General features: G+C 47.1%; 1 annotated feature.

Moving 5' to 3' along the window:
• Window positions 10,478-10,567: an enhancer, noted in NCBI's record as "active region_4667". NCBI's record gives its function as "activates an Ori minimal core promoter by ATAC-STARR-seq in GM12878 lymphoblastoid cells {active_cell/tissue: GM12878}" and the evidence as "EXISTENCE:reporter gene assay evidence [ECO:0000049][PMID:35858748]".

The raw sequence follows: 11,877 nt of genomic DNA, 5'->3' as shown, positions 1-11,877 counted from the left end.
CTGGTAACCTCGAACAAAGGGCCAAATAAATGGGCATGTGAGTGCTTTCTTATCTTCGCCACAGCTGACTGTGAGTAGATGGGATGTTCCTTTCCAGCTGTGGCCATCAGATCATGGAGTCAAGGGATGGTGGAAGGGAACGGGAGGTGTGAAAGAAAAATATCTTGGGCCCCCAAAATCACTAAGCAAAACTCCAGCTGGAAACCTGCCTCCCATTCTATTCAAGGTCACCCCTCTGCTCACTGAGATAAATGCATATCTGATTGCCTCCTTTGGAAAGGCTAATCAGAAACTCAAAAGAATGTAATCATTTGTGTGTCACCTATCTGTGACCTGGAAGCCCCCTCCCCTGCTTCGAGTCTTCCTGTCTTTCCAGACTGAACCAATGTACTTCTTACATATATTGATTGATGTCTCATGTCTCCCTAAAATGTGTAAAACCAAGCTGTGCCCTGCCCACATTGGGCATCTGTTGTCAAGACTTCCTGAGGCTGTGTCACGGGCGTGTCTGCAATCTTGGCAAAGTACACTTTCCAAATTAACTGAGACCAGTCTCAGATTTTCTGGGTTCACAGGAGGCTATGCTCAGATCACCTGGGACTGAGCCCTTACTCACTTCCACCACTCAGAAAAGCTGCCCTTAGTTTCTCCTTGAGAGACAAGGTGCTGCCTCCATAGTGGACTCTATATTAATAAAGTACAAACAGGCTGGGTGTGGTGGCTTGTGCCTGTAATCCTAGCACTTTGGGAGGCTAAGGCGGGAGGATCACTTGAGGCCAGGAGTTTGAGGCTGTAACGAGGTATGATGGTGCCACTGCACTCCAACCTGGGTGACAGAACAAGACCCTGCCCAAATAAATAAATAAGTAAATAAATAAATAAATAAATAAAGCAAACACAAGAAAGCAAAACCAAGAGGAGGGTCTCCAACCAACAGAACAGGGGCACGTAACCTTGTTTAATTTCAAAACAGAAATTTTACAGGTTGTTGCTCAAGAAAACAGTAACCATTCTTAAAGCTCAAGGGAAGAAAGAGGAGTGTGTGTGTTTGAGGGCCCCTTAGGGGCTTTTAATGGGATTTGGAGTCAGATAGACCTGGATTCAAATTCCAGCTCGGATATTTGCTGTGTGGCCTTGGACAAGTTACTTACCTTCTCTGAGCTGCAGTTTCCTTATCTATAAAATGGAGATAGTAATCTTACCTTCCTCTGAAGGCTGTTGCAAGGATTCTGATTGCTAAATTGTGTAATGCACACCGCACAGTGCCTTGCACATAGAAGCTTCTTGTTGAATGACGGTCAGGATGATCACGTTATTATCGTTACTGGCTCAGGTATGTTTTTCTCAATCTTGTTATTTTGGACCAGACGGTCCTTTGCTGTGGTGGCTGTCCTGAGCACTGTAGGATGTTTAGCAGCATTCCTGGCCCCCACCCACCAGATTCCATAGCAACTCTCCAGCTGTAACAGCCACATGTCTCCAGACAGTGCCAAATCGCCCCTAGTTGAGAACTACGGAGCTGGAGGTAAATGCCTTGGAGATTGAGGGAGCGATCATGTGGGTTGATCCAAAAAATCTGACCCAGACAGGAGGACCTGATGTGGTGGGGGATGGAAATGGAGGAACAGGATGGGCCAAGGGTTAAGGGGCCAAGTCAAACCAGCAGATCCCAAATGAGCAGAGAAGGCGGGGGTAGGCTCTGAGCAGAAATGGGCCCAAAAATCCCAAAGAGGGTAGGTCCAACAGTTTCATCTGGGTTTCTGTTTATTTGTGTAATGGAATTTGTTTTTCCAGTTGTAAAAGTAGTGTAAGTTCATTTTAAACAAGTTGGCAAGTCCACAGAAAAGCCAATCAGAAAATAAAAATCTTGGCTGGATGTGGTGGCTCATGCCTGTAATCTCAGCACTTTGGGATGCCGAGGTGGGTGGATCACCTGAGGTCAGGAGTTCCAGACCAGACTGATCAACATGGTGAAACCCCGTCTCTACTAAAAATACAAAATTAGCTGGATGTGGTGGCACATGCCTGTAATCCCAGCTACTAGGGAGGCTGAGGCAAGAGAATCACTTGAACCCGGGAGGTGGAGGTTGTTGTGAGCTGAGATTGTGCCATTGCCCTCCAGCCTGGGCAACAACAGTGAAACTCCGTCTCAAAATTAAATAATAATAATAATAATAATAATTTAAAAAGAAAAATCTTAAGTAATCCCAGCACAATTACACGATAGAGTGTGATGTGCTCATTTGCTCTTTTTGTTCTTGTTGTTTAAGAAACAAACATTTCTTAGTGCTCACTGTGTGCAGGCCCTGCTGGGTGCTGGGGTGTCTGTGTGGGTGGGTGGGTAGGACTGTTCACATGCTCTGGACAAGACAGTGTGGGGGACAGCCTTGACTGCAGGTAGGCACAGTAGGGGTGGTGTGGTGGGGAGAGCAGAGCCTGTTCCTAGGGATGCTGCTGGTCATTTTTGTCCTCTTCTACTGGCCTCCTCCTTTGAGGATCCTTGCAGTGTCCTGGTCCTGGCTCCCTGGTCTGGATCTTTTTGGAATCTGCCCGTTCCTTTCTATCCATGCGGCCCTGCATAAGCTGCCTCCATCCACCTTGTTAGTTTCCTCCTCATGCTCCACTTTGCTTTCTGTGTGCACCAGCCACCCTGATGTTCTGTCCTTGCCTCACCTCCATCCTGTTTCATTTTCTTCAGTTTTTAAAAATTGTGGTAAAATATACACATAGCATAAAATTTACCATTTTAATCTTTTTTTTTTTTTTGACAGGGTCTTGCTCTGTCACACAGGCTGGAGTACAGCAGTGTGATCATGGCTCACTGCAGCCTCGACTTCTTGGGCCCAAGCCATCCTCCTGCCTCAGCCTCCTGTTGTAACAGTAGTGTAGCTGGGTCCCAGCTGTGTAGCTGGGACCACAAGTGTGTGCCACCATGCCTGGTTAATTTTTGTATTTTTTTTTTCCTTTTGGAGAGATGGGGCTTTGCTGTGTTGCTCAGGCTGGTCTCGAACTCCTGGGCTCAAGCAATCCTCTGATCTCAGCATCCCAAAGTGTTGGGATTACAGGTGTGAGCCACCGCACCTGGCCTGACCATTTTTAAGTATACAATGCAGAGGCATTATGTACATTCAGTGTTGTTCAACAATCACCACTATCCATTTCCATAACTTGTACATTATCCCAAATAGAAACTCTGTACCCATGAAACAATAACTCCCCATTCCCCCTGCCCCAAGATCTCAGTTACCTCTATTCTATTTTTGTCTCTATCAATTTGCTTATTCTGGGAACCTCATATGTCTGGCCTCTTTCACTTTAGCCCATATTTTCAAGGATCATCCATGCTGCAGCATGTATCAGTACTTCATTCTGCTCTATGCTGAATAATATTCCATTGTAGGTCTACATCACGTTTTGTTTATCCATTCATCCATTGACAGATACTTGTTTCCACCTTTTGGCTGTCGTGAATAGGGCTGCTATGAACATCGGTGTACTCTTCTTTTTAAACAGCTTTATTGAGATATCATTTACATATCAAAAAATGCACCCAGTTAAGTGTACAATTCAATGCTTTTTATTCTAGTCACAGAGTTGTGCAACCACCACCACCATCTAATTTTAGAAGATTTTCCCTCACCTCACACCCCCAGCTCTAGGCAGCCAGGGATCTATTTTCTGTCTATAGAGATTTGCCAATTCTGGACATTTCCTATAAATGGAATCAGACAATATGTGGTCTTTTGAACCTGCCTTCTTCATTCAGCATAATGCTTACAAGGTTCATCCATCATCACCTGTTTTGTAAGTGAAATTGTATTAGAACACAGCCCTGCTCATTTGTTTACATCTGATCCACGGCTTTGAGCTTCACAGACAGAGTTGCGACTTATAAAGTTGCACGGCTCACAGAATCAAAAGGAGCTACTATCTACCCTTTTACAGAAAAAGTTTGCTGACTCCTGGTTTATGCCCTCCAAGTTGAGCTTTCTGGAGTCTAAACTGATAAAGGCACCAAAAGATAAAAAGCGAAAAGAGGCAAAACTGATGCCAAGAACCCCAGGCCTATAAAAGCTACCATTATTGGGCCCCCACCATAGTGTAAAGCATCCCAGCCAGCCAGGCAAAGAAACACAGCAGAGGCAGAGCCCGCCTCACCTGGGAGGAGGAAGGAGAACTGTTCAACACCAAAGACAACTTTTTCTAGCAGGCTCTAATCACTCGGGGCACCTTATAGAAAGTGCATTGGCCTTCCCTGGGAAGAGCAAGTGAAGACGCCATTAGAGGAAGGGGGTTCAGCAGGCTGGATGCATGGCCCATGGTGACTCTGGCAAGCTGGTTCAACATACAGCCAAGCTTGGCAGATCCTGAGGTATCAAAGAATTCCCCAAGGCTCTCACCAAACTGTTGTGGGCCAAAATGGTTAGTACTCATTTTTTTATTTTTTCTTCTTTTTTTTTTTGAGACAGAGTTTCACTCTTGTCACCCAGGCTGGAGTGCAGTGGCACGATCTCAGATTGCAAGCTCACTGCTCGCCTGCCACCATGCCCGGCTAATTTTTGTATTTTTAGTAGAGATGGGTTTTCATCATGTTGGCCAGGCTGGTCTCGAACTCCTGACCTCAAGTGATCCAGCGGCCTTGGCCTCCCAAAGTGCTGGGATTACAGGCATGAGCCACTGCGTCCAGCCTGTTGTTATTATTATTATTATTGTAACAGAAAACTTGTTATTATAACTATTATTATCAGCAGTAGCAAAAGCAACCGTCACACAACTCCTCTAGTTCTCTCCCGCTTCCCTGCCTTGCTCATTAGCAACAACACAGCAGAGAAGGGCGGTAAAACCTTTCACACACTCAGAGAGCCTGTAAATGTTTTTTATTTACAGGCTGCTGGAAAATGGTAGAAGCAGCCAGACCAATCCCCTATGGGAAGCTTCTCTTCTGTGGAGGTGGAAAAAGAAGGGCATTTGAACTGGGACAGAAAACAGGGACAATCCCATTAGCTCTGGTTGGTAGAGATGCTGCCACCTTTGCCCTGTGGGTTCTGTGTCCTACTCGACCTCTCACTGATGTGATAAGCTTCCAAAGAATTTATCCTCTAAGAGGCTGTGAAATGATGGCCTGAGGCTGAATTTGGTCCACATATGTGCCACACAGCCCACACGCACAGTCTTTTATAAATTTGAATCTTCTTTTAAACTCAGGAAATTGCACATAAACTTTCAGATTTCCGGCTTCTCTTTCAAAATTAGAAATTCCAGCCTTTGAGGCCCACATTCCCAAATGGCAAAAAATGATGAGAGCTGAGGAGTGGCTCCCCCATGCAGAACTGTCTAGTTTACCATCGTCTCCATCCAGCTTGCTTTCCTCCTTTATGTAACTAGTTGTCCCCTTTGGGCTTTTCATTAGGAATTCACTCTTATGATAGCAAGTTTCATCTTCCCTGAGACTGCAGCAGCAGGGAAGGAGTGGAGATCCACTTAGGGGATGAGGGCATCAGAGATGGATGCAGCACTAAGGTCCAGGCATCTCTAGTTCCTGCCAGCACAGCCCTCTCCCACCCAGCAGGCTAGAAGGCTGTCTGGCAGGCGTCAGAGCTGAATCCATGAGCCCACATAGCAGAGGGGAAAAAGCCCTGCCATTCTTTCTCCTGGAAGCTTCCATCTAATAATCACACTTGCTCTTTGTGTGCCAATGTGCTAAGCAATGCAGCATGCATTATCTCATCCGATCATTGCACTGCCCTCTAGAATAGAAATTATGATGATCCTCACTCTAAGATGAGGCAACCAAGGCTTAGAGACATCAAGTCATTTGCCTGTGGTCACACAGCTAGGAAGTGGCTGGGAAACTGAGGCTGTAGAGATGTTACCTTGCTCTTGCAAAGTCACATAGCCAACAGATGGCAGAGCAGGGATTCCATTTCAGGGCCAACTGACTCCAAAGCCTAGAAGCTGGAAAACTGGAGGCCAGTGGGGCAAACTAGTTTAGCTGGTAGTATTTTTGAAAATTTGGACTTTTGGCGTTTTGCTGGTCTCACTGGTCCCCACTTTCTCACAGGTCCCACCAATACTGTTGCCTCACACCCTGGCTTCTTTCCCCACGCATGTTGCCTGCCTGGCCTCAGGAGGGGTGACGACCTTCACATCCTCTGCACGTTCTCTTACCTCCCAGAGTTCAACTCTGATGGGCTTGAGCTCTCAGTTCTAGGACAGAGATGAAGGTCGGTGTTTTTCTCTGTTGATCCTACCCCAGTAGGTTTTGGGAGTTGAGAGCAGAGACAAATGGAATATGGTTTGGTTCATGTTCAGTTCCATGACTATGATGCCATTCCAGAGCCCGAGATTTAGAGATTTAGAGGATTGATAGGGTTGGTTCCAGGACCCACTGATTCACTGGGGTGGTGGTTGAATTGATTGTATTGTTCTAAATCATTTCTCTCCCTTTGAGATTCCATCCAAAGTGAGTATGCTTTAAATCAGGGGTTTTCAAATACATGTTGTTTCAGGTGTGGGTTCTGTGTCTCATTTACTTTTCTGGGAGGAGGTAAGCAGGAAAACCAATGGGCAGGCATTATGGCAGGAGTTTGGGATCAGGCTGAATGGGGCTGAACTGTTTCCCAGATTAACCAGAAAGTCCAAGGAGTGGATGAAAGTCCAGGAGTGGAGCCTAGGTTGGTTCAAGGGGAAGCAGGGAAGTCATAGAACCAATGAAAGGCTGGGAATAGGTTGAGAAGCACAGTACAGAGTAAAAGGAAAAGAAGGGGATTGGTTGGAGGTTGAGAACCCAGGCAGGTGCCCAGGAGCTTGCTCTGACAGGTGCTGTTGGGTGAATAGTTTCAATTCAAGCCCCGCTGGGCTGCATCATCCCATTGTTCTAGTCATGGGTTCTTAAGGCTTAGAACAGGACCGTGTTAACCACACAACAGAAATGTTGAGCTAAGCCAGCTAAGACACTTCAGCAGCATGGGAGAGAAAACATATTAAAAGAAGCATAAATGGTGCCTAAGTTAGTTAGTTCCAAAGTTCAGTGATGTCACCGAAGACTCAGGTGTCCTAAAGTGATTGCCGTCATGGTCCCAAATGGCTGCCACAGCTCCAGCCATCATGCTGAGCATCCCTCAAGAGACCAGAGAGGGAACATTCCTGTTTTGTGTCTCTTTTGAAGAGTTAGAAAACCTTTCCAGAAGCCACTAGTAGACTTCTTATACCTCACTGGCCAATCCTGCTTAAACTAATAACTGACAAGGAGGCTGGGATGATCAGAATTCATTCTCATGAATCGAGATTTAGTGCCACCTCTCCCTTCTCCAAGTCTTCTCAGAACAGAAAGGAATAAAACTGTGGCTATGTCAGCGAGGATGAAAGATCAGAGATTGGTCCACAGGGACTTCTACTCACTCCCCTCACTGAAATCCTATGGCCAATGTGTGCAAGGCTCCCCCTACCCCTGTTAGTCTAACTACGTCTAAAGCATATCTTCCGTGTGCGAAGGGACACATCCAAAGCTGCCCTACTTGAAGCAGGAGTGAAGGCCAGGAGCCCACTTGGCTCCCCCAGCTTCCTGGAGGCACTGGATCTTTTCCAGCATCTTTATTTTATTTATGTTGAGATGGAATCTCACTCTGTCACCCAGGCTGGAGTGCAATGGCTCAATCTTGGCTCACTGCAATCTCAACACGGGAAACCTCACCCAGCCTGGACACGGACAGGATTGACAGATTGATAGCTCTTTCTCAATTCTGTGGGTGGTGGTGCATGGCCATTCTTTGTCTGGTTAATTCCGATAACAAATGAGACTTTGAAATGCTAACTAGTAGAGACGGGGTTTCACCATGCTGGCCAGGGTAGTCTCAAACTTCTGACCTCAAGTGATCCACCCGCCTCAGCCTCCCAACGTGCTGGGATTACAGGCATGAGCCACCACGCCCAGCCCCTCCCTCTATTTTATAGACATGGAAACAGAGGCATGGGGGAAGTTAAGTGATTTTGGATACACTGCTAAAAACCAGTGTATCTCAAATGCAGTGGAAACATGGCCTTGCCTCACAGGATTAGGACTAAATGAAGTGAAGGATGTAAAGAGGCTAGCTCAGGCCCAGCACATATTAGGCACTCAAGAAGGGCAGGTCCTCCCTCCTTCTGGCATAGGGGAATGAAAGATGAGGTGAGGCAGGGACCCAAGGTACTGTGACCTGGGGAGGCAGCAGGGCTGGACTCACTGGCTGGCTGGAAAATCAGATAACCCTTCTGTGGCTACAGAGCAAGATGTGTGGGTGCCAGACCCCTGGCCTGGTAGAAATGACAGCTGGCCTTACCCCCAGCCCACAGGCACCCTCCACCTGCCTGAAAATCCTCTGAGAATGAATTCTGTCTTCCTCCCGAGCCAGCCTGTACCTGGACAGAAAGCTGATGGGCAGTGGAGGGTGTAGAAATAAACAATGACCAGGCGGGGCACGGTGGCTCACACCTGTAATTCCAGCACTTTGGGAGACTGAGGTGGGTGGATCACCTGAGGTCAGGAGTTCGAGACCAGCCTGGCCAACATGGTGGAACTCCGTCTTTGCTAAAAATACAAAAAAATTACCTGGGTGTGGTGGTGCATGCCTGTAATCCCAGCTACTTGGGAGGCTGAAGCAGGAGAATTACTTGAACCCGGGAGGCGGAGGTTACAGTGAGCTGAGATCATACTACTGCACTCCAGCCTGGGTGTCAGAGTGAGATTCCATCTCAAAAAAAAAAAAAAAAAAAAGAAAAAGAAAAAGAAATAAACAATGACCACACAAGTAAGACCACACAGAGGCTTTTTATTCAGAGCCATAGCAAGGGAGTTGGCCACCACTACATATATTCGGCAAAGACTCAAAGTCAGGCAGAGTGAGGAAGATTTGCAGTGAGAAAAAGGGAAGGCTTCAGGTGTGCCCTCACCGGAGGCTGCTGGCATGGGGGTGCTGGAGGCAGCTAACTAGAAGCTGGACATCCTACGTGATTGATTGGTCCTGAGTTGGATGTGGCGGTTGTACTGGTGGGGAGGGTGTCAGGGGGACACAAGGAAACTGGCAGTCACTGGCAATCATTGACCAAGTCCTGATCCTTCTGGGCCAATTGCTGCAGAGGTGGTGGTTTGGTTTCCAGGGCTGATCATGATGGAGGTTGTAGGAAAGAGTTCTATTATCATATACGGTTTGGCCATTGTCCGTTTGTATATTTGGTCTCTCGGTGTGCAGAGAGGGAGGCCTTTCTATGTGATTTGGGACATGTTGCTAACCTCTCTGTGCCATGGTTTCCTTACCTGTGAATGGGATGTTAATAGTACCTGTTTCAGATGTGAATATATATCAAGTTCTTAGACTAGCAACTGGCATGTGGCGAGTACCCAACACAATATTAGTTATTATTTTAAAAATTATGGGCATAATTGGTGTGGTTCACACCTGTGTAATCCCAGCACTTTGGGAAGCTGAGATAGAAGGATTGCTTAAGGCCAGGAGTTCGAGACCAGCCTGAGCAACATAGCAAGATCTCATCTCTTCAAAAGATAAAAAAAATTAGCTGGGCATAATAGCTGGCACCTGTAGTCCCAGCAACTCAGGAAGCTGAGGCAGGAGGATTGCTTGAGCCCAGGAGTTCAAGGTTACAGTGAGCTAGGATTGTGCCCCTGAACTCTAGCCTGGGTGGCAGAGCAATTTTTTTTTTTTTTTTGCGGTGTAGTCTCACACTGTTATCTGGGCTGGAGTGCAGTGGCGTGATCTCGGTTCACTGCAACCTTCACCTCCTGGGTTCAAGTGATTCTCCTGCCTCAGTCTCCTGAGTAGATGGGATTATAGGCACCCACCATGATGCCCAGCTAATTTTTTTGTATTTTTAGTAGAGATGGGGTTTCACTGTGTTGGCTGGGCTGGTCTCAAACTCCTGACCTTGTGATCTGCCCGCCTCGGCCTCCCAAAGTGCTGGGATTCTAGGCATGAGCCACCGCACCGGGCTGACAGAGCAATTTTTAAAAAGTATTAGTATTATTATACTCAATGGAAAGGGCACTGGCCTGGGAGGAGGGCTCTGGGTAGCTCTGGTCCTGGTTCTGCCCCATCGCACTGTGACCTCAGCCTTCTTGAGGCTCCTCTGAGTCTCAGTCTTGTCAGCAGAGCAGGGGGCTGAGCTCTGACTTCCAAACTGGTTCCCAGCTCTAATGTTATCAATTCCCCACTGGGTGTGTAGTGACAGCCTGCCATCGCCCCTCCCTTCCCCATACCCACACTCCATCTACGCTCCCAGCACACCTGGATGGGCAGCTGCGGCGCAGCAGGCTCTGCTGTCCCCATTTCAGCTGGTTTCAGGTCCTAAATTTAGTCCTTTCATAGAAGCCACGGTGTGTGGGAGGAGGGCTCCCGGTAGATCTGGTCCTGGTTCTACCCATCACACTGTGGGTGAGGGCTGTATGTGGTGGGGGCAGCTCTTCCACCCATGTGGTGCACTCCGAAGAGAATCAGGCAGGAGGCCAGGAGGGCTGAGCACTGCATTCCATTTTGTCATCAATGCACTTGTTGCAGGACAATCAAAGACTGGAGAGACGGAAAAGAAGTTTCAGGAGAGTTTATTAAGGTGATCACCGGCCCAGCCGGACATATGTCCAGAAAGTCTGAGCCCCAAACAAAGGGCTTTTCCTACTTTTAAACATCTTAAGGGGGGAACTACGTGAGGCGGGAAGCGAGTTACAGAAGCAAGAAACAAAGGCAGCATTACAACATTTCTTACATCTTGAGAGAAACATGTCTTGCAACCTAAACTTACCAGTCTTGTGACCCTGCAGCTGTGCAGGAACTCGCTGGGCCTGTAATAAACTTTGAGGAATGTGGAGTTGGGGAGTATAGATAAGGTTCACTGTCCACAGAGAGGAGACAGGCTGTGAACATTCCCTTTTAACTTGAGTGTAAGGGGGAAGGGGTCACACTTTGCAGCAACTTTAAGAGAATTTTAAAATTTCTGTTACTACTACTATTAGGTTATAGTTGATTTCATTAATTCCTTCTTCATGCTGGGCGAGTCCTTTGACCCTTTGGGGCCTCAGTTTTTCATCTGGCAACTAATTTTTTTTTTTTTTTGAGACAGAGTCTTGCTCTGTCACCCAGGCTGGAGTGCAGTGGTGTGATCTTGGCTCACTGCAAACTCCACCTCCCAGGTTCAAGTGATTCTCCTGCTTCAGCCTCCTGAGTAGCTGGGATTACAGGCGCGCACCACCAGGCACAGCTAATTTTTGTATTTTTTATAGGGATGGGGTCTTGTCATGTTGCCCAGGCTGGTGTCTAACTCCTGACCTCAAGTGATCTGCCCACCTTGGTCTCCCAAAGTTGGGATTATAGGCGTGAGCCATTGTGTCAGGCCTGGCAATTAAATTTTATATATGTTGACACCTTAAGCCACCATGTTATCTTTTTTTTTTTGAGACAAAGTCTTGTTTTGTTGCCAGGCTGGAGTGCAGTGATGCGATCTCGGCTCACTGCAACCTCTGCCTCCCGGGTTCAAGGGATTCTCCTGCCTCAGTCTCCCGAGTAGCTGGGACTATAGCCATGTGCCACCGTGCCCAGCTAATTTTTGTATTTTTAGTAGAGATGGGGTTTCAGCATGTTGTCCAGGATGGTCTCAATCTCTTGACCTTGTGATCCGCCCACCTCGGCCTCCCAAAGTGCTGGATTACAGGTGTGAGCCACCGTGCCCGGCCTATGTTATCCTTTAAAGTAGAACAACTTTCCTTTCTTTCAGAGGAGGAAAAAAATCAGAGAGAGGTTAAGTGAGTTCGCTAAGCCCACACAGCTAGCACATGGTTTGAGTCTAGATCTTTAGACCCTAAGACCTAGTCTTTTTTTTTTACCTTTAGATAAT

Source organism: Homo sapiens, chromosome 11, assembly GCF_000001405.40.
Source record: "Homo sapiens chromosome 11, GRCh38.p14 Primary Assembly".
Taxonomy (NCBI): Eukaryota; Metazoa; Chordata; class Mammalia; order Primates; family Hominidae; genus Homo; species Homo sapiens.
The sequence above is the reverse complement of the archived record's forward strand: the minus strand, read 5'-3'. Positions and strand labels throughout refer to the sequence as shown.